The sequence below is a fragment of the Homo sapiens genome, chromosome 18, assembly GCF_000001405.40.
Source record: "Homo sapiens chromosome 18, GRCh38.p14 Primary Assembly".
Taxonomy (NCBI): Eukaryota; Metazoa; Chordata; class Mammalia; order Primates; family Hominidae; genus Homo; species Homo sapiens.
The window spans coordinates 44,871,741-44,895,121 of NC_000018.10; the positions used below are offsets into that span (position 1 = coordinate 44,871,741).

Here is a 23,381-nt window from a genome sequence, read left to right on the forward strand (position 1 = left end):
TAAAAATGCGATGTTCATTCCTGGAAATAAACACATGACTTTTCAGGTTGAGCCTGAAAGCCCGTGTTTTCTAGGGTATTGTGTTTTAGCAGGTGGTGATCTCCCCAGAGGCTGGTGAGCCTGGCCTCCGGGCCACAGGGTAGAGCTTCTTCTAGAGTCAGGCCTGGTGCTGGTAGGCGGTACTATTCTCAGCAAGTTTTAAAGGCACAGATGGAAAAGCTTCTGAAATTCACACCTAACCCACCCTGACTCTTCTACCTCCAAACACATCTCCTTTTACCTTCTAACATCCTGTTCTTGCCTTTTGAAGCAACAGACACACTTGAGTACCCTCCTTTCTAAGTCTTTGGGTTACTGGAAATGAGAACCCTCACTTCTTTTGTCTGTCTGGTCCCCTGCATTCCTAAGAGGAATAAGAGCTGACATCTAATTTTCTTTAGTAAAAGCCCAAAAACCATATGCTTTCCTCTGCATTTTTCTTTTATGCTTTTTTCCCTCTAATATAAAAGTTGTAAGTGTCCATTGTAGAAATTTGGAATATACAGAAAACCATCAGAAAGAAAATACCCTATCATTTCACCTCAGAATCATACACAATGACATTTTGGGGTATAGTCTTCCGATCTTTGTTCTACATAGACACACACATCTGTTTTTTTTTAATGGTAATATTTTATATGCTTTTTTGTTACCTTATTTTTTGTTGGTTTGCATGCTTTCCACAACACTGGAAAATCCAGCAGCTAGCCATGCTTGCACTAGTTGTTAGTACCATCATTCATTTACTACCCCCTCTTGCTGGACAACCCATTCCTTTTGCAGGCTGAGATCTCCAGGAGCAATCCAAGGCAAACGCTGGCATCCAGTGCCTTCATCCAGGATGCAAAGAGCATTCAAGGCTTCTTGGCATTTATTTATTTACTTTTATTTCTCAGTTCCTACAAGAATGTGCAGGCTGCTTAAACTTTGCAGTAAAGTGCCTGTGGGTGATGCCCACGTGCTTGTGCACATGCTTACGAGGTGGGGGAATGTGGTAAGGAAATAGCCATAGCATGGGCACCATATTCAGACTCAGGTCCTGCATGCCCAGCCACAGTGGTGGAACAGTGATGTGACAACGAACGTCCACCACAGAGGAAAGCACAGACTAAAGGATTTGGTCCTCACCTGCTACATAAACCCTCTGTTGTCTCAGAGAATAGGATACTTCCTTTAGGCAAAATGGAGTATTATTTCAAGTGTGGGGCAAGTGTAATGGCCACCTATGAAGGGTGGCTGTTTTTAATGAGTTTCTAAAATGTCAATTGCTACTATGGTCAAGGGCATGCTGTGGTGGAAGATAAGAAGAGAGTAAACAAGAACACATAGGAAAACATGTTTTAGTGCAGAGAAAACAGAACTTTCACTCACTTAGTTGCCATTTCATTCAACAGGCATCCATGGAAGACCTTTCTGTAGGGCTCCCAGCTATACACAGACCCTTCCCCAGATGTTGACAATTCTGAAATGTTCTGCCACCAATATTAGCTTTGTGACCCTGACGAAGTTACCTAATGTCTTTGATCTTGATTTACCTTATTAAGCAAAGGAGTTGTGCAGCTTATTTCACAGAGAGTATGGGCATTGATGAGACAATGCATGTGAAAGTAGCATTGTATGCCTGAAATGCACAGTGAGGTATTGTTTCTTCCATTAGAGAAGTGCAGAATAAATTAATTGAAAATTCAAATGTAGAAGAAATTATATGTCTATGGAACAAGCAGGGAGGTCGTCCCGGCAGAGGTGGTGTTGTACCTGGGCCAGGATGGGTGAGAAAAAAGTGAGGCAGTGGACTTATTCCAGAGCAGGGGAAGCATGGAGGAAGGCTAAGACAACAATGGCGATGCTTAGGTACATCTGGAGGCTTGGTGTGGTTTAATTGTGGAGCCTCAGAGGAGAGCATCGTGGGAAATTATTTGCAAATTAAAGTGGGGCCAAATTTCAGGTCTTAAAGGTCTGGAAAATGAAATAATAGGTTTTTTTAAAGTCTGAAAAATAAATTAGGCTTAAAAATTAACTATGACTGAAGTTTTCATACTTACACAAAAGTTAGCATAATAATATAATAAACCCATGTACCTGTTACCCAGTTTCAATGGTATACTGCTAAAAAAGCCCACATTTGTAGCATCTGCTAATTTCTGTTGTGTAAATATCTCCATCATGACCAATTTTAAGCTACCAGTGGTTTAGCAACCTGTTGGCAAAGTCTTTGACAGTCAGCTCTGCACCCCAGCGTGCCACTGGGATAGCTTCCACAATTGTTACCATTTTCCAAACTTGTCTATACTCTCATCTACTTTGGTTTTTAATTTTAATTATTTGGGGGTATACTTTAAAACAAATCCCAGTCATCATGTTATTTCACTAATAAAAAATTTAATTAACTTATCTAACAAATAAGGGCTTTTATAGAACAATCACAATGCCATTATCACATCTATCAAAATTACCAGTAATTTTTAAATGTTTTCGAATACTCAGTCCATATTCAGACTTTTCTGATCATTTTTAATATGTCATGTTTTAGTTGATTTGTCTGAATCAGGAAACAGAATTTGGATTTTTGGAATCCATCTGAAGACAATGGGAGGCATTGAAAGTTTGAGGGCAGAGAAGAGTCAGAACTGTGATAGATGAAGGTTCCTCAATGGGTAGAAGGCGTGATGAAACCAAGAGGGCATCAAGCACTCAGCCTGTGCTGTTGGTCCATACAAGGAGTAGGGGGGAATGAAGGTGGGCTGAGGACCGTGGGGGTATCACAGAGGAGATGAATGCCAAAAAGTTTGGTGGCAGAATTAGTGGACCAGCAGCTTCTCAGTAGCTAGAGAATTTGGGATGCTGTTAACCAAAGTGAGGGCCCACGAGAAGTGCAGTGTTCATTCCTGGAGGAAGAACGATTAAGTGTTCAGAGGAGGAAGGCTCAGTCCTGTTCAAATGAACTGTTACTCCACTTTCCTTAGTCCCCACAATTAGTCCTACTCAGAGATCATCAGAGGACACAACCATCTGCAGAACAATCCTGGGTTCCATGAGTCCTCAACCAGAAGTTTTAATGCCAAACCCCAAAGTATTCTGTGAGGAGAAGCTGCTTTTTAGGAAGGTATGACTGTGGAGTTTCTGCATAGAGAGAAATCCTGGCTGTGCTTATCTCCCAACAGAAAAGGAAGGCTGAAGCAGGGCAGGGGCTGTGACAGCAGCTGATGTTTCAAGGAGGGTCTATGTATTGGTTTGCTACAGATGGGTATTCCTACACTGGGAAATGGAAGGCAACTGGGGGAGTGAGAGTCTTCCGACAGCTCTTTTATTTTGTAAAAGGGAATCTCTGAGTTACCAGGTTGCTTGTTCTTCTAGGGTTGATCATGTTTTTCAGAACAAAGTCACCATTATCTGACTCAACTCTAAATGGACATCAGCTGTCTACAAGTTCAGCATCAACACTTAGAAAGAGTAAAATTGGGCCGGGTGCGGTGGCTCTTGACTGTAATACCAACACATTGGGAGGCCAAGGCGGGTGGATCATGGGGTCAAGAGATCGAGACCTCCTGGCCAACATGGTGAAACCTCGTCTCTACTAAAAATACAAAAACTAGCTGGGCGTGGTGCTGCGTGCCTGTAGTCCCAGCTACTCTGGAGAGTGAGGTAGGAGAATAGCTTGAACCCAGAAGGAGGAGGTTGCCGAGATCGGGGAGTGAGCCGAGATCGCGCCGCTGCACTCCAGCCTGGCAAGAGAGCAAGACTCCATCTCAAAAAAAAAAAAAAAAAAAAAAAAGAAGGAGTGAAATTGAAGCTCTGGGTTTTCCAGGGCACTGAGCCTCGTTAGACTCAACTGGAGTTTGTGGTAATGCATGTTCACCCTGCTTTTGGCTCAATACACATATACCAAGGACTTAGTATATATAGATGCCGGAAGATGTTCTTTGAATTTTACGTGTATTTTGTCATTTAATCCTCACAACATTTTGTAAAATTAATAGGAACATTAGCCCCATTTTACAAGTCAGCACACAGAGGCACGGGGAAGTTAAGGTCACCAAGCCCATATGTGCTAGAAGTGGGATTTGAACTCAGGTAGTCTGGCTCCAATATCTGTATTCTTAACCACTTATGCTACGCCATCTTGAATTAGATTTGTCTCTACAGTGAACACAGACCAGTGTGACCACTGGTAAGTTCAGGACAAGTGGCTGCACCTTCGTTTTTGAAGATTGTATTGAGTTTCCTTGATCTTTGACAAGGGCCATGAAAAAGCAATTTCTTTATCTGAGTAATAGAGGGAATTGCTGCATAGCATTTTGAATCCTTCCACCTTGGCAAATAGTTTCTTATTGTTCTCATTCCTGTCCTTCCCCAAACTCTCAAAGGGAGAATCATAGTGGTGTTTGTCCCTCCCACAGAGGAGGAAACTGATATGAGACAGAGGTAGGCAGGGCCAGCAGTGAGGATACAGGTTGCTTGTTTTGATTTCACCACATAATATTTACTTTGCTGTTTAGGAAAGAGCCATCCCAAAGCAAAGCAGTGTATAAGGAAATCCTGCAGCTGCTGCTTCCTTACACCCTCCCACACCCCCACACCCCTATTTTAAAATGGAACGAGACACTAGAGACCAGAAAAGTTGCCATTCCCAGCCTTGGCTGCAGACAGGAATTATCAGGGCAGTTTGAAAAATACAGGAATCCAGTCCTAACCCCTGTAGTGTGGATTGAATTGGTCTGGGTGGGGTCTGGATATTGGTATTTTCAGAAGCTCTCCAAAATCTAAGTCAGCCTCCTCATTTTCTAGATTAAAGACTCCAGTAAGGAGGAAGTCTGGAAGAGAAGAGGAGGCCAAGGCATCCCATTCAAAAAGCAATTCCTGTCCCAGGAACGTGCCATGTGCTTCTCATGCCCCCGGAACCCATTCCCCGCAAAACCCGGTTCTCTCACTCTTCCTTTTCACAGTGAACCTGCAGTCTGGGCACAAGAAGTATAACTTCGCATGGATTCTGCAAAGCCCACACCTGTGGTCATTCCCTGTTCTTTCCATTCAACAATGGAGACTTGCCCAAGATTGTAAACTAGTGAGTGACAGCATTTGGGCTTATGATCTTCTCTGCCTGCTAGCTAGACATTCTCTCTGGGTCTAAAAGATAATCCAAAAAGATCCAGCTTCACAATGCTGCCCTGAAGAGATAATGCATTAGGCGGCCCTGATGCAGCATTCACTGTCTTCCAGGGCAGGCTTGATCCCATGAGTTTGCTTGCTCAGACGATCACTTAGGAAACACATGCCTTTACTCTCTAGGCCTTTTTTCTAGCTTGCCTTGTATCAGCTATGCCATGGATCTTTGCTCTCTTACCCCATGCTATACAGAGTATGGGCTCCAAGCCACAGCTGGCCTGTCAAGTGTGTGTCGCTGGTCCACCATGGGATACATTTAGAAACTTTTATAGCAATTTGACATTTTTGTGATATCCAAGCATGTGATTGTTTTCCTACGGATTTGTCTTATAGTATTTTACCAAAGTTTCCACACAAAAAGTATGGATTAAGGACAAAGTATCTGGTCCTTCATCAAAGATCGTTTGATAAGCTCTGTTCTAGTTAACCAACACTGAGCTTTCCTAGTTTTAATAAAAGAGTAGGATTTGGACTCCTTATTTGTCTTTTTCTTCTACAAGCCTGTATGTGAATATTTGTAATAGGAATAATGTTCACCCTCCAAAAAAAATGGTTCCACTCGTAACAGTATCTTTCTTGCTACTTTTAGGATAACTGCACACAATGTGTATCTTTTCTCATAATTCCTAAGGAAACCCATTTAATTATTACCAGACGTGTGACAATAACAGGGCATTTTTAACAAAAATATTTGCCCACGTGCATACATACACCTCACACTGAAGCCCAAACTGACACTTTTACTCTTCTTACATGAAATCAACAGTTTCCTCCCACAAGTATACATTTTTTGAACTGCTTACCTTGACTGTGTTTTTAGTGGATTTTTTTTTTTAACCAGTATTGGCATTTGGTCCTGGAGAAAGAAGTTCTCCAGGTGTTTTCCAGAAAGTCTGGCATTTCCGTGGAATATTCTGAAGTCTTAATAAGTTCTCCTGGGATACTAAATCTCTAGACCTCAGTGAATATTTTGTTTTTTAATTCCAAGACATTCTGACCATCTGAGGGCTGTGTGCAGGTGGGCCTGACTTAAAACAAACCTAATGTGCAGAAGGTCACGTGTGAGAAAATTGATAGATGACAGGTGGGTGTTGGGGGGTAGGTGGTTATTCTTATGCAGAAAATTTTTTCCACTTGATCAAGGAAATCAGTATAAGTCATCCCTGCTAGTATATTCAAATATGATGTCGTATTTCAAAATCTGATTTAAACTCAATTTTTTCAGAACAGAAATATAAACAAAGTGAGGCCAACTGGTTGAAGTAACTTTGAATGATACCCTTAGCAACGAGGGAGTAGGAGTAGATGATGTCTATGATCCCTGGAGACTCCAAAGATTTCCTTATTCTGTGAATCTTTCCACTGTCTTTACATCTTCAGTTTTTCATTCATTTTTTTTTTCTCTTCAATCCTTTTGGTAAAGTGGCCTAAAGATGAGCTTCTTAAAACTTCTCCTGTAATTCTGCTCACTTGAGACCTGGGGTTATTGATGTTTTGTACTGTATCTCTAATGTCTGTGTTTATTACTAGATTTAGTTACAGCATCATATTTTCCTGTGTCTAAAATGTTAGTATGATACATGACTGTGCTTTATATATTTTTAGGTCTAGGAATGACTCCTGCATAGTAAATGCAAATTCACAAACCACCTTTAGAGCTTGAGAGGTTTCTTTTTCTTAATTCCTTTATCAGGATAGTTCCAAATCTCCCTCTTCAGGATGGAAGAGGCCCATCTCCACAATAAATAAGCAAGCTCACTTTTTTAGTTCTTTCCAACCCCACTACCTGGCTCCCACTCTAACCTTTTTGTCCTTCCACCTATCTACTCACCCCGTTTCCTACCATGTTGTACCAAACAAAAGACATCCATTGAGAGGTGTCAAGAGACCTCCAAAAGAGAGGGGCCCTCATAGTGGAACAGCTTGCAGCTCTCACATGGCTTTTTGCAGACATCTGCTTGCTTGTGTTTGGAGGCTTGGTTAAGACTGCAGGCAGCCTCTACTGCATTTTTTGGATATTTCCCTGATAGTGGCCATCCTCTTCCACCACCCTCCAGCTCTGCCATGATTTCCTTTGTACATCTCTCACCTTCCTAAAAATATGCACCAGAGTTACTGGCAGAACTCATGTTTCTAATGGGTGACCCAAGCCAATGATACATGGAGGGGAAAGCTTTGTGTGATGTTGTTGTAATCTTTACAGCTATAAATAGTAAAAATTGATGCTTGTTTAGCAACAAAACATAAATCTCTCCCACTTTGCTGTATCCAGTATCAAGCACAGAGAACATTTTCCATTACTTTATAGTTTGGTAGTTAAGAGCAATGATTTTGGAACCAAACTGATAAGTTTGAATCACAGGTTGGACTTGTACTAGCTGTGTGACCTCTGTAAGTTATTTAACTTTTATGGCCAGAGTCATCCTTAGTAGAGGAAGGATACCTACCATGGGGTTTTGAACAGGATTGAAAAGATAAGCCCATAGAAAAGTGTCTGGCATCTAGTAAACACTCCATAAATGTGCACTGTAATTCTTGTTACTCTTATAAATTACATAATTGAAATTGATCTTGGACTGTTGAAGTCAGGGTTAGAGCACAAATTTCAGCTTCCCAAGACCATATTACTAGAGTTTGGGATTGTCCAACAGAAAAAACAAACAAACAAACAAAATAAAGGAAACCCACAAAACCTAGATTCACCTAACCTTTCACTAGGCTGTTTATGATGCTTGCCATTTTAAATGAGCAGTGATAAACACTGTAGTCCTGGGAGAATGGCCCTAGGAGAGGAAGGAGGAGGACAGAGACTGATGAGAACAGGCTAAAGGATGCGTAGGGGCCATTTGACCAGGAGAAGGGAACACCTCACACTTGCCTTCATTGACTGCTTCCTTCTCTTCCCACCTACAGCACTTTCTGAACTAACATTTTATCTTTCACTCATGGAAGAGGAATAGCTATAAGGTACTAAAAATGATTTTTAATAAATGTATCAGTAGTTCATTCAACCACAGAGTATTGCCTCATTTAAGCAACTTTCTCAGGCCCAGTAATCCTCTCCACATATTTCTGGAGGTCCACTTTGGCTCCTACCCTGTGGAAGATTCACACGTGCAGTGATTGGTTGCCCAGAAACATCAGTGAGGAACTGGACCAAAGGGCATTTGGCTGTTTGGAGAGACTGCACTAGGACTTGGGGATTTTTTAGGATTTTATATGATGACTTTCACACCGCTAAATTCAGCTGCTTCCATATGAAAAATAAGAGATGATTCAAGAAGCACATGGGTTTTGGATTTAATGGGGCATTGGGGGAGTGAGAGGGCATCTGCAGAAAAGAGCCATCCAGGCTGCAGAACTCTTGTTTCCAGCAAATAGTCCATTGTTGACGTGGTGATAGGGCAAGTAGTTTGCTGATGGAAAAAAGAGAGGTCTGTGCCAGGCTTAATTGTATTGTGAGAAAATGCAGCTGGCTAAATTTGGCTTCCCGCCTTTGATATGTGTAGGAACAGAAATCCCAAAGTAAAGAACATGGGGTGAGCATTGTATTAGGCTGTTCTTGTATCGTTATAAAGAAATATCCGAGACTGAGTAATTTATTTAAAGAAAAGGTTTAGTTGGCTAATGGTTCTGCAGGTTATTCAGGAAGCGTGGTGCTGGAATCTGCTTGGCATCTGGGGAGGCCTCAGGGAGTTTACAATCGTGGCCGAAGGTAAAGGGAAAGCAGGCACATCACATGGCCAGAGCAGGAGCAAGAGAGCGAGTAGGGGCAGAGGTGCCACATGTTTTAAATGACCAGATCACTTGCGAACTCAGAGCTAGAGTACTCTTATCACCAAGAGGACAGCCCAAGTCATTCATGAGGGATCTGCCCCCATGGTCCAAACACCTCCCACAAGGCTCCACCTCCAAGTTTGAGAATGACATTTCAACATGAGATCTGGGTGGGGACAAATATCCAAACTATATCAAGCATGGTGTAAATACAGTCTGTGTGCTTCCAGCAAAAAGTAGATGCTCAATCAATATTTGTGGGACCTATTCTAGGGCTGCTTATATACCCAGGGGTCAAAGCAAATCCCTTAACAAAAATTCAGGTATACAAATTCTGACATTTCTGTAATGCTTTCTGGCCTTGGGATCATATCAAAAATGTCTCCTACTACACATTTTATCTTTGGAGTTAACAAGTTTTGTGAGCCTATTTTAAGACCATCAAGTTTTGGAGGTTTACTTGTCACTCACCATGATTTTATGGTATAACAGGAATGTTCAGGTACCTCTGGAGGTGGGATCAAAAGTGGACAGCTTTGAATTAAATGAGCTTGATTCACCCACCTCAAACCCATTGCATTTTTGGTTTATTGGCATCTTGTGAACAATGACCTAAGGCAGGGGTGGGTAAGAGGAGACGGGAGGGTGCTGGCAAAAAGAAATCTGAGACTGCAGGCATCTAGAGAGACAGCACATTTCATTCTTGATAAACTCCAGCAGAAAAGAGCAATCAGCTAAACAAGAGCTGGACAAATTAAATGGCTGAGTATTATTTCAAAGGAGAGCTCAGGCAGCATCAGAAATTCCCCATCAGCTGTAATAACGCCAATTACTTTGCCAATTGCAGATTCCATCGTGATGTGTTTAGTGCAATCAGGCATCGGACTCTTGCAGGGGCCTGATGGGTTTTGTTTACCCTGAATGTACATTTGTAGAGAATCTTTTGCACCTAAAGGCTTAGAGCTCTGAATGTCCTTCGCTAGATCCAGATTCATACACAGCTGAGGGAGATTATCTTTGAGATGGAGGCAGGGGCAGGCTGGACCCAGTGCCCCCGCCCCTCACTGGAGAATGCCTGGGATTTAAATATAAAGAGCACAGCTGGGTTTGGTGGTTCTAGTAAATGTGACAGTCTCCAGAAAACCTCTCTGTAGAGTAACCAACCAGTTAATCAATATATATTTCTGATTATGAATGAGCAAGGCTTCTTGGCATGTTGGAGTGTCGGACGGATAACCATTAAGCAGCAATAACAAACATGTAGCTCTGGGCGGAGAGACTTGCCAAGAGTTCATTAAGCATTAAATACTGACAAATGGGGGTGCGGGGGTTTTCATTGTCTCCCTTTGAGAATCATTTGGTGGAATGTCAAACATACAGATCATTTCACATATGGAAAGAGATCAGAAAAAAGGGAGATATCTACTGCTGTCCCCAATATTTTAGTAGAGAAAACAAAATTTGGAGAGTATACAGAAACATTCATTTTTTGTTTGTTTACATTTGGCTCCATAGAAATGAATGGGTGTGTGGCTGCCACTACTTTGAGGAGTGAGCTGCGATTCTCCATTTATACCCTCAGTCCAGGAAGGTGCTAATCATGAGCACTTTGGTCAGGCTGACAGCTCAAGTGGAAGTTATATCTATGACTGCTGGGGGTGCGGACGAAGCGCTAAAGGCTGATTTGATTCCACTTATGCTCAGCTGTCATCTGGGGCCACAGCTTGAAGGAGAATGGGATGCTATTCTCTTCCCTCTGCTGTGTGACAAGCAACCTTTGTGTCTTTTTTTTTTTTTAACCTGCCTCTTTCTCCTTCACACCTATGATAAAGGCCTCTTTGCCTGCAAAGAAAGAATTCTCCAAATTCAAAAGCAGCTTCCATTGCCTCCTAGTGAGTGACTCTTGGACTCCTCAAGCCCTCCTTCCCCCAGCTGTTGCTGAGGGCTCCCTGTTCACAAGGATGGGTCAGGTCCTATTTTAGATGGGAAGGCAGACATGGGATCAGACAGGAAGAATAGGTCATAGGATATCAGATTAGCATGGCAGGGCTCATGCTATAGGCTTCAGCAACCTTGCAGATCATTTATTCTAGGCGGGGGTGTGTGTGTGCGTTCACATGTATGTTTTCCCTAAAAAGAGGTACTTCAGCCAGTGCATTTGGTTTGACACCAGTGTTTCTGCAGCTACCTCCTGTTCAGATAATGTTCCTGGCTCTCAGATAAGAGGCAGAGCTTGTCTCCTGCACACACTGGGGACAGGAAAGACTCTCAGAAATCATGAGATAACATATGAAGCAGTGAATGGAGGGGAGGGCACCAAATCTTGCCACATGTACCCAACATCAGTAACTTCACCACCTATGGCAGAGATGGAGCTGCCTCATCCTGCCTTCTCATTAGCATGGAATGGAAAATATTCAGTGATTTATCTCTTTGTCTGTAAGGAGATTCATTTGTTCACATATGAACTCAGAGGACATCTCTGACTTGGTAACATAGCCTCCACCATGAGAAAGATGTTCTGAGATGCAATTTATCAAAAGCAATCTCAGTGGAGTGTGATCCTTTGTCTGCCCTCTTGAGTCTAGGCCAGTTTTAGAGGCTACTAATGTAGCTCAGCCATGAACATAAATTCGGTTCTTGCAACTAATATTCTTCCTCCATCTTTCTCCACAATGTCTTTAAAATAAGTATATGCTATAAGCATGCCATTTTGAGAAAGTTGGCCCTTGTGCTAATCCTAATAACTCCACTTTCCTTAAATATGTATCAGTCTAGATTAGCTAATCAGGTTGTCTGTCACCATATTAATTCATCTCCACTAGGTACAGGACCGTCTACTAAAACTTATGGCCAGAGGGCCTTTCCTTACATACATGGAACAATTAGGGTCCTTCACTAAACTTACTTACAGGATATAAAACAATAAACAGCCTATGTTTATGAAGCAATTTTAAGTGCTTTCTTATACTTGGTGAGCACTAGAAATGTGAAATAGGCAAGGATAATTAACTCCATTTTACAAAAGAAGACACTGAGGCAGATTAAGGGAATTTTTTTTTCCAAAAATTCTCAGCTGTTAAATGGTGAAATTGCAGAACTGGGTTTAAAATCAAGGTCCTCACACTCTAACATCTCTTTCCTCTTTTGTTCAGTCATGAGACAACAGGGAAGTGTGTATTATGTACCGATGGCATCTTCATACATTTCTCTTTTATGTACAAAAGATTTAGCACTTCTGCTAAACTAATTGCTCCCCAAAGGAAAACTAGAACCACTGGGAGTTGATTGAAAGAGGCGGATTTTAGTTTATTTCGGAGAAATTTCCTAGCAACGAAATGAGCTCACTCCCATGTGCCTAGTTAGCACCCCATCTCTGGATACTTTAAGTAGCATCCAAAGGCAAGGCAGTAGACTAGAGGATTTTCTGCAGGTACAGGATCAGCGAGAACTGAGGCTGAATCACAGCTTCAACACTGGCTATCTCAATGACCTTGTTCAAGGTGGATTACTCCTCTGAGCCTCAGTGTTCTCATGCATGCAATGGAGGGAACAATATTCACCTCATTTGGCATAAGAAGGATTAAGTATGCATGTAACGGACCAAGCACTTTGCCTGGAACAGAGGGCTTTTTCAATAAATGCAATTGTAAAACCCTCTCCAGCCTGGCCTTTCTCCAAGTCAGTGTATCCCATATGTCCTCTCTATCTGCCACCCTTCCCAAGGCTTTTGCCACTTTTGCCTGGGTGAGGAAAGTTGGTCCCAGCAGAACCTTCTCATGGCAGCATTGGGAGCCCAGGGGCCATGAACCTCACTTCCAGTTTTGGGTCCAGAACTTTTGTAAACTGACTTTGGATTCAGAAGCCAGAAGAAGGTCATTAGGAAAAATGGAACTGGAATCCCCAGCAACTGAGTAATTCACAAGTATGCCATCAGGGAAATAGTTTTGATGATTGCCAAGAGATGACACATGGCAAATGTGTCAGTGAAAATACTCTTGTTTGAATAAAACTTCTTCTAGTCTATTCTACTGGACCCTGCTGGCACCTCAAAGAGTTTTTTGTTTGTTTGTTTGTTCTCCAAAAATAAATGGCATGGGTAACTGGGTCTCTCAGTTTGTCATGAGTTCAGTGTCTAGGTATATTACTACAAACATAAAATATGCATCTCTTATTACATATGTCTGATTACTACGGTAATACATAAGTATTGTAGAAAATTTGGAAAATTAAAATTAAAGAATTTAAAATCATCTTAAATCCTACCCAGGAATGATCACCAATAACACTTTTAGAATACAGTCTTTAGATTTTATTTTATATGAACACACATAAAAAGATGGGACCTTGTCACTTTGAGCTAAAACCAGGCAAAGCTCACCACCTTAGATTTTCATGATATCAGAATGGCGTCTAGACCTGAAGTTGTCATTACCTGGCTGACTCTAAGAAATTCCCTTTGCAACCTTAGCTCTCAGTTTTCTTATCTGTGAAATGGCCTTGATCAACATTTTGAAAATCATATTTCCTGGAATGTTATGGATGTTTCTTGAAAGAATCTGTATCAAATAGATTTGGCAAAGGCAGAGTTAAAGAAAAAACAACATTGAATATTATCAATATTCTCAGAGCTCTTAACAAGTAAATGAGCACATGAATCCCAAGAAAGGGACTTAATAGGCCATAGAATCCTTTTTTCCTGGCACACCTGTTAGTATGTTGTAGCAGTAATATTCTTCAGAATATCTTGGGAAGCACACTGTACCGCAATCACTAAGGTGTTTCTAATTCAATATGTGCTGGATTCCCACTTTTTGGTAACACATGAACATTGAAACTGATCCCCTGGAATGTGAACCTGATAGGATTAAAAAGCTAATCCATGTGGCATTGACTCCCATTTATTTGGCGAAATCGAGGAGTTAAAAATTGTTGAACAGCTGTAACCTTAGACCTCGGAAAGTAAACATTTCACAACTGATATCAAGGTCACTGACAACCTGAGTGCAGGTGGACTGGAGATGTTGGCTGAGATTTTGTGGATGCCAACCCTGGATCGTGTGTAGACAGGGAAAACATGCTCCCAGGCTATGTCCTGAAGCTTCACATGTGCCCATTTCATTAAAAAAAAAAAAAACAAAAAAAAAAACAAGGTGACTTACCCTGTGAGAGTTGCTTCAATTCTGCTATTCCTTGTGTCCTCCGTGTTTGAGTCTTATATTCAATGCAGTTTATTTTCCTAAGTTCTCAATGAACTGCAGTGGAGTGCCACAAACTATGCTTCATACCTGCTTTACTGGATAGCTTGGCTGCAACATATAGTCGGATGGTTTGGGAAGGACAAAAGTCTCATGCACGGGAAAATTAGAAAACAACATGACCATGTCCCAAAGTATGTTATAAAGTTAATAATAAAAATTCAGGGGGATCAAGAAAAGGACTAAGCTATGTGGCCAGTGTGTCTTTGCTACGGTGTGTCTCAGTTTCTTCATGTAGCACATGGGAGGTGCATACTTGAATGATGCCTCAGAAGCCTTCCAGCCTCTAGCATTTTATTCTTGTCCATCCCATTCCAGTAGAGATGAGACCTCCAGAGGCTATGAGAAGTACAAATGAAGGATTTTCAATATAGGTGTAGCACTTCCAGAGCTTACTACTTGGGACAGTGAGCCGTCTTGATGAACTACTTAAATCTTCACTTTGTCCAAGATGTTCCTCAACTTACTTGGATCAAAGCCTTCCTCTTTCTCGTCTTCTTATTTTTTTGATTAGATATATTTTTCCTAGTTGGATAGTGTACTTTTATATTTATATGTCAAGGTGGTTTTCATTTAAAGTAAAAAAGCAATGTTTAAAATTTCTAGCCCTTAGGTCAGCACAGGTGATTTCTGTAGGAAGGGCCCTGTCACCTTTTAGATACATCCAATTCCTCTTAAACATGAGCACCTATCAGAAATAATGAAAAAACTCACCTTTGGGATTTTCATTAGTTTGGCAATCACTTCTCCTTTTGAAAGATTGGTGGACTGTACATTTTATTATTATTATTATTATTATTATTATTATTATTATTAGTTAAAAGGAAGCCAACTGTTTCATTTGATACCACACAAAGATAACAGCATTGTAAAGTCCCAAAGAGTTTCCCACTGAGTTCCTCCAAAGTGACGAATTCCTAGCAAAAGGTCTTCTCACACTCAGCTTGTCAGAGACCTTGCTTGCAGCAGTGTCTCAGGAACACTTGTTGGCTGAATGAATGAGTGAAGGAATTGGTAAATTAGTGAGTAGTGTCACTGTGTGGTATCTAAGAAGAACTTTGACTTTGGGGTCAGATAGAATTGGTTCTAAAATCGTGTGGTTCCTCTTAGTAGATGTATGACCTTCAGAAAATTACTTAACTTCCATTTTCTCATTTGTCAAGTGGGGACATGAACTCCCTTTGAGTGTTACTGGAAGGATTAGAGATGATCAATGTAAAGTGCATGATACAACGTAGGTGCCCAATAAAAGGAGGTTTCCTTTTTCTCTCATTGCTCATGCAGCATCTGGCTCCTAGTGGGCCTTTGGGACATGTTTGATGACTGAAGGGAGCTGAGCACTATGCATTTGGAGGCCATGAGTCATTCACACCCAGAAATTACAACTCCTTTATCTACTGGGCTGCTGTTCTCACTGGGGAAGTCCCCAGTTGCCTGGTTGGCACATTGTTCCAGCCAACCAGGTATTTACAGCTATCTCTGGCTATTCTGAGCATGAACAAGATTACCTGGGAATTTCCCTCTTGATAGGACTAGAGACTCCTACCCTTAGAGCAGAGAAGGCAGCTCTGATAATGAGATGACAAAACAGAGGGCTTTTCTCTGTTCTCAACTAAGTCCTTAGTGGCAGGAAAACAGACTGTAGTGTGCACAGGCTCAGGCCAAGGGCCACAGAATATCTTCCGAGTAAGAATACAGGAGCAAGGACAAGCTAGGATCATCAGTGATACCCACTCAGAGTGGGTAAAATCCTCAGGCCACAGACAACAGAAAAAGGCAGGCAGAAAGTAGTGAGCAAGTGGCCAATTGTGTCCCGGATGCCCAGGGCTTATTAGAGCAGGGGAAGGCCAGAAGGAGTCAAAAGCCTAGGCAGAGGTGGTCAAACAAAGATCATGTCAAGGAGCAACAGCAGGTTATCCAATTGTAAATACCTGGAACCCAGATTCCAAAATACGAGGGCTCAGTGGGAGGCAGAGAGAACACTGGGGAGCAAGACAGTAGAGCCAAGCTAAAAAATATCTGGACAACCAAGAAAATCATTTTCTGGGATCAAATAAGGAACTGAAACATTAGAAGAGCAGTCAATCTCCATCCCAGATGACAGGCATTCCAAGTTCCTGCCTGGATGGAGTATTTCAGGGTGCTGGTCCTGGTCTCTGCCAGGAGGGGTGATCAATTTCTACACCAGGTTCCCAGTGAGTCAACTTGGATAAGTTGAGCCTAAAGCCATGCACCTCAATTGGTGAGAAATAGAGCTAATAAAACTCAAACCAAGGAATTTATCCCTTGTGAGTTAGTTAGTTCCTCCTGCCTGAAGGTCCCTTCTTAGCATCTAGTAAAATGTCACTTACAGACCACTTTTAGAGCACACACAGCCAGGGGTTTTGCTCAGGTCAGTGCTTGGAGGAGCCTTTTTTCAGGATCCCAAGAAGTAGTATTTCAAAGCTGATGCTGTTCACTCATTTCTTTAGTTAAAGATTTATCTTCCCTCAAGCCTTATGAATTGAATTGGTACCAAAAGGATGCACTTCCCATTTGGTGCAAAGCAAATGTAGCAGATAAGAAAGCTTTGTGCTTTTATTAAAACTGTCACAATCAGCCTGTTCATTTCCCCAGACTTACCTTGTCTACTAAGGCCTAATACCTCTCTATTATGTGAATCCTCTGTGTGGCCTTATATGAGCAGTGACTGTCATTGACATGGCCACAGAGATTAATAACATTGATGCTACTGACAGCTTACCCAGGGGTTTAGAGAATGGGAACTGATTGCTAGTAAATTGGAGGTGCAAGAAAAAGTGCAAAGAGGGCCTAGAAAAAGTTGACAACCAGTCTTTTTTGGGAGTCAAGTCAGCTGACTGCTTTAGTTTTAATACCTTCTTGAGGCCTAGAGAGTTGTCTTGATTTATGTTTGAAATGGTACCTACCTATTTTTTCCCAAACATGTAAAGTGTAGTATCAAATAACAACATACCTGACCACTCCAGCAAGTGGAAGCTTCTCTCTCATTCTGCTTTATTCTGGAAAAATAGCAGCAAATAAATTTTATTTGCTTGTAGGCCTTAATTTACTTGAAAGTTGAATATATTTCCTAGCAAACATTTTGTTTTTCTTCCTATTTTTGTAGAGTCAGTCCCCTCCATGGTTTCTTTTTCTTCAGCATTTCAAAACAGAGATAAATAATTTTGCTAATGCTTTTAGTATTTCTCTGATTCCTTCATTAATCTCCAGGGACAACCATAAACCTCCGTGGCTTTAAAAACATTTCATTTTTCTTGCCAAACCAGGAGAAGAATCAAAAGAGGAAGTTAGTTATCTTTGTACTAAGTTGCCCACTCTTCCTCTAAAAGTTTGAGAGCTACCATCAGAGCCTTATTTATCATCCCTACTAAATCCTGTTCTTTGAACCAAAAACAACTAAAAGACTTGGATCAGTTAGCTTAGACTGTTTTGATTCCCTGCAGAGTTCAGTTTGGCCCCAGTCATGTGGGGAGTGTAGACTAGAGTCATAAGAAATACTGTCTTTGGATGCTCAAGTCATCTTCTGTTCTAGGGAGCTCAGAGCGTTGCTAAGGGAGTGGTGATGGTGTCTTCTAGGTGTGAGTTGCACTGACTCTCCACCTGAAAGTGTTGACACTGAGGTCCACAATTGTTGCATTCTGCTGCAGAAGTCTTAACAGATAGTTAAATTAAACTATTGAGATGAGGCCTATTGATATACAATTAACCCAAGACAGTTTTCTTAGATATATGTGTATATATACATAGAAAGAACAGATAAATTTGAATGTTGGTAACCCTTGCCGTCTATGTGGGGAAGCCCCAGTGAACAACTTTTACAAATAATTGGCCAATAGAAATTCTTCTGCAATCCCTATTTCTCTAAAAATGTTCTCCCTTTTATTGGATAGTATATTTTCCCAACATTTAATGAAGGATTTTTAAATTCAGTCAGCATTTTTGTTTACTTGTTTACTTAATTAACAAATTAAAATTGTACGTATTTATGATGTACGACATGATGTTTTGATATATGCATCCATGGTAAGGCTGAATCAAGCTAATTAACATCTGCATCACCTAACACATTTTTCATTTTTTTGTGATGAGAATATTTAAATTCTATTTTCAATTTCCAGGTATACAATACCTTGCAAGTTTCAAGGATACCATGCCTTGTTATTAACTATAGTCACTATGTTGTAAAATAGGTTTCCTGAATTTATTCCTCCTAAGTGAAACTTTGAACTCTTTGACCAGCATCTCCTCAAACCCCTCACCCCACCCCCAAGGATGTTTTGTTTTATGTTTTCTTACTGCAGTATCGCCAAATCTTTATGTGAAAAGCAGGACAAGAACGACATTGTGAAACATAAAGGGGCTGTTAGTTCTGTATAACAGTAGATTCTTTTGTGTCCTGGGTTTTTCTCCATCTGAGAGATTGTCCTATTTCTCTTCACCTGATTAGGAAACTCTAGCAGATGGGGAAGGCTCTTCCATGGGAATCTTTTTAGAGGTCAAAGATGGAGTATTTGGAGATGTTTGTATAGATCCTATGGACACGATATATCATCAAGTTATTATTAAAACAAATATGCCCATTTCCTCTATTTAATTTTGAGGATCCCTCAAAATAGCCTCAGCCTACACCTGGAAGAAGGAAAATAAGAAGGTGACCTGTGGACTATAATTTTTTCACCTAGTCTTACACTTGAGAGTGCTTTGTTGCTTAAAAAGTAATTTCCTAATGATTTTTGCATTTTATTTTTGAATAAAACCTGCAACCTCATGAAGGCAGTTACTGTCATTCAAGTTTTTTAACTCTAAGGAACTGAGGATGGAGAGATTAAATGAATTGCCCAAGCTCACAGTGTTAGTAAGTGACCAAACTGGATTGGAATTTACATGGATCTTCTGATTCCAAGTCTAGGGTTCTTGGCAAACACTAAATGCTAAAACATTTGACAAGGAAGGGGTATTAGTCTGTTTCCATTCTACTGATAAAGACATACTGAAGACTGGGCAATATACAAAAGAAAGAAAGTTTTAATGGATTTACAGTTCCACGTGGCTGAGGAGGCCTCACAATTATGGCAGAAGGAGCAAGTCACATCTTACATGGATAGCAGCAGATAAAGAGAGATAGCTTGTGCAGAGAAACTCTCCCTAATAGAACCATCAGATCTTGTAAGACTTATTACTATCACAACACCAGCATGAGAAAGGCCTGCCTCCATGATTCAATTACCTCCCACCAGGTCCCTCCCACAACACGTGAGAATTCAAAATGAGATTTGGGTGGGGACACAGCCAAACCATATCAGAGGGGCACATCAATACAAAATGAAATGAAACAGAAGCACTCATATATTTGATCATCTAGGTTTGATCTACATTTTATTATACACATTCAGTCAGCAAACATTATTAAGTACCTATTGCTTGTAAGGCACTGCAGTGCTTAGATTTTACCTCTGAATATAGGACAGAGGTGGATTATATTGGGCCTCATTATAAGCCAACCTTGGCATGAGTGAAAGTCTTATAATGGGGCTTTGCACCAGCCACAGCTTCTAAAGTCATCATGGGTGAGTCTGTTCCACAAAAGTGAGCCAAGACTACTGTAACTATGCTGTTAACTCAGGCTGCAAATGTTCTATTCCTGAAAAAAAAATGTATTTGAGGCCTGCATGATCTCAACTGGCTGTAAATACCTTTCAGATTTCCTGGGTTATTGCTTAGTCTTCTACTGTTCCTTTCCGTCTTTATCTGACCAATTCAGAGTCCTGCTTCACAAATGCCAAACCATTTTAGTTTCTGTATAATGGAGGCATTTTTTTCCTCTTTAGGTCACATGTCTTTCACAGAGATTTTTGTCATAGATGTCTTGAAATAGGAACTGTAAAAGACATTATTTTTGAACGTTTGAACATTGCTTTTTATTTTCTCAAAGGAGTTTGCACATGATCAACAGATATATTCATCAAACCCACCTACGAGATGAGAAACCCAGACTCAAAAGTTGAGGGGAGGAGAAGTGCTCTACTTTGAGAAGAAACAACAGAAATTAAGCTCAAATGTCTTATAAAATGAATCCTGAATAATCCTTTTACATTCAAACATTTTGACAGTTTTTGGGCATGAGAGGAGGAGTGAGGAGTTTATTTGGAGCCTAAATTATCTCCAAATTGTTTGTTTGCTATTAAAGGGCTGAAAGAGAAGTAAGCAAAACAAAAATAAAATTCCACTGGCTCTCCACTATGGATGAGAAGTTGCACAAAGGCCTAGCTGTTTCGTTGGTGGAGAGCTACATGGCTGCCCAAGTTTTGCAATAGAACTTAGAGAATGGCCTTATATGGGAATTAAGGATGGGAAGCAAAATGTGTTTTTGAGGACTTAAACAGACACTCCAGGTGGTGCAGACAGGTGCAGACAGCATTGACATAATGTCACCTGCATATGTACATGGCTTAGGCCTTTTAAAGCCCATTTACCTGTGCTATTGTGTTGAATTTTAGCTCTAAAATAGGTTGTGATTTGATCTTGTTACCAATTCAAAAAATCAGTTAGGCATACCTAGTAGGTCATCTTGTCTCTGCTTGAAAGTTTCCAGTGATGGAGAGCTTTCTGTTGGCCAGGTAATGTATTTTGTGGCTGGACAGCTTTTATTGTTTGGAAATTATTCTGTGTATAGAGTTCAAATATATTTTATTGAAACTTCTATCTACTGGTTTTATTGTAACTGCTACATAATAATTTTTCTTCCTCATCCACACAATAACTTCAACCATTTGAAAGCAGTTATCAGAACTCCCTTAAATCTTCACATCTCCAAGCTAAACACCTCTCATTTTCTCAACCAAGCCTTTATTAATATGGTCTTCATCTCCTCCTAGCTCTGTTCACCTTCTCCTAGAATAGATTTCTGGCATCTCCATGACCCTAAGCAATCAAATCTTCTGGTAGCTCCATGACTTTAATAACAGTATATTAAATGTTTCCTGACCAATATAGGGTGATTGTTAGCAGCCTCTATTGAGATTTTTTATTTCAATTACTGCCATCTAGGATTATGATGACTATTTTAGCAACCATTGTTAGCTCAAAAAAAGCTTGTGGTCAAATGACATTAACAGTCCCTTTTCCATAACAACTGTGACTCATTTCTCCTCATTTAATTCCTTCTCATCTTCTTAAGAACGAGCAACCTACATGAAAAGTTTCAAGGGTTAGAACAGATCCTGTCACCTCAATTTAAAGTAGTACTAGATAACATTTACTGGCCACTGACTAAAGGCCAGTCATTAGAACTGTTCTGAGTAATTTTCCTACAATAACTCACTAAATGCTCATAATAACCCTTGGGGGTAGGTTCTATGAATGCTCCATTTGAAAGATGTGCAAATGGAAGCGTGGAGATGTTTGGTAACTTGCTTAAATTCACACAATTTGTAACTGAGAGAGGTGAGATGCAAACACAGGCTCTTCAGCCCATACCCTTCACCCTGCTTTCTAGCTGGTGCACATAGTTAGTAGTCAACAGGAATTGAACCTCGGTCTCCTGGCTGATAGATCAATGTTCTCTCCTCACCCCGGTGTGGCCTTCCTGAAGTGGTAACAAGTCTTTCATTTTTGAACTTTATATAAGCTGTTTTGTTTTGCTTTTATACAAACTGAGATTCATGACCCATTATGAATTCAATTTAGGGGGTCAATATAAGCAAGAGAAAGGAAAAAAGAAAAGAGGGAGGGAGAGAGAGAAATATCAAAAGACATCATACAGAGTAAGTGCAAATTTTGTTTCTTTAAACTCTTATTTTAACATGTGTAAAATGCACACAAAAATACCTATTTGTGTGTGTGTGTACAGAATATGATGAAAAGTGTATCTCTTATCTCTCTCATACGGTCAAAACAGTTTGAGAGTTGCTGCCTATCTATTGTATATACCAAACTTTGTCCATTTCTTTATGCTAAGGTTAAACAGGGATTGGAGGGGACACTTTAGTTTTAAAACTCCACTCTTGATCTGCAGCCAGTAAGAGCACAACTTGCAACTAAGCAGAAAGTTCAAGCAAAGAACCTTAGAGTGAAAAGAGATGACTGAGGGCTGAAATAAAAAACAAAAAGCTATTCCAATTTCATTTGAGTTTCCATTCAGCAGCCTCATAGATTCCTAACTCATCACCTCAAGCAGGTCACTTCCCCTCTCTCCAAGTTGTTCGCCAGAACCAGCCAAAGAATGCAGGAAATGGTACTCTCTTTTTCTGAGTGAATCTTGGCAAAATGACTTCAATTTAGCCAGCAGTGCAGGAAGCGATTGTAAATATAAATTTGTTTTATATGCTCCTCCCAAAGGAGACTTGCAGTTTGCCTCCCTAGTAAACAGGGATGTGTATTCCTGATCATCTTACTTGGATCATTTTTTTTTTCACCCTTCTATGTAGCAATGTCCTTAATTGAGGTAGTAATATTGGGCTTGTTGGATTGTCATGAAGTTTAATTTGAATGTTAAAGGACCCCCTTGGTGCTCAGATAAAAATCATTATATAAGGAGGAAAAGAAAATTATGTTGACTAATTATAGGTATATAGAATTCCCATTCATTATGTCCACAATGATATGTATCTGAATATGATATGTTGTAGACTGAAAATAGTAACTCTCCCTGGTTATTTCCACAGTCACTTTAGGCACTTGGGAAAATGCATTCTCCCATTTTATTCAATTAAAGTATGTGTAGGAATGAGGCAAGTACAGTACAAAAATCTCCAGGAATCAACAAAGGACCACCAAGAGAATTTAAATGGATTTCAGCCATTGTAAACAGAAGACAATTTAAGTCCAATTCACTGTTGAAAACTTAATTGAGGCTGGGCACCGTGGCTGCTTTGGGAGGCTGACTCAGGAGGATTGCTCAAGGCCAGGAGTTCAAAAGCAGCCTGAGCAACATAGCGAGACCCTATCTCTGCAAAACTTAAAAAAAAAAAAAAGTAGCCAGTCACATGTGCCTGTAGTCCCAGCTACTAGGGAGGCTGAGGTGGGAGGATCACTTGAGCCCAGGAATTCAAGGTTGCAGTGAGGTATGATCATGCCACTGCACTCCAGCCTGGGCAACAGAGGAAAATCCTGTCTCAGAAAAGA

General features: G+C 40.6%; 1 protein-coding gene across 19 annotated transcripts in view, besides 2 other annotated features; it reads left to right on the top strand.

The window, feature by feature from the left end:
- Positions 1-23,381, top strand: part of SETBP1 (SET binding protein 1) — a 388,438-nt gene that overhangs the window by 191,668 nt on the left and 173,389 nt on the right. The window contains exon 4 of one of the 19 annotated variants that reach the window (NM_001130110.2): positions 4,825-5,679. The exons of the other annotated variants lie outside the window; for them this stretch is intronic. Coding sequence (NP_001123582.1) covers positions 4,825-5,013 — 189 coding nt within the window. The 3' untranslated portion in view covers positions 5,014-5,679. Of the gene's footprint in view, positions 1-4,824; positions 5,680-23,381 lie in introns of those variants that run through there. 19 annotated transcript variants of the gene reach the window in all.
- Positions 15,295-15,524: an enhancer, noted in NCBI's record as "active region_13258". NCBI's record gives its function as "activates an Ori minimal core promoter by ATAC-STARR-seq in GM12878 lymphoblastoid cells {active_cell/tissue: GM12878}" and the evidence as "EXISTENCE:reporter gene assay evidence [ECO:0000049][PMID:35858748]".
- Positions 22,344-22,638: a silencer, noted in NCBI's record as "tiled region #15026; HepG2 Repressive non-DNase unmatched - State 24:Quies". NCBI's record gives its function as "represses a minimal TATA promoter and a strong SV40 promoter by Sharpr-MPRA in HepG2 cells {active_cell/tissue: HepG2}" and the evidence as "EXISTENCE:reporter gene assay evidence [ECO:0000049][PMID:27701403]".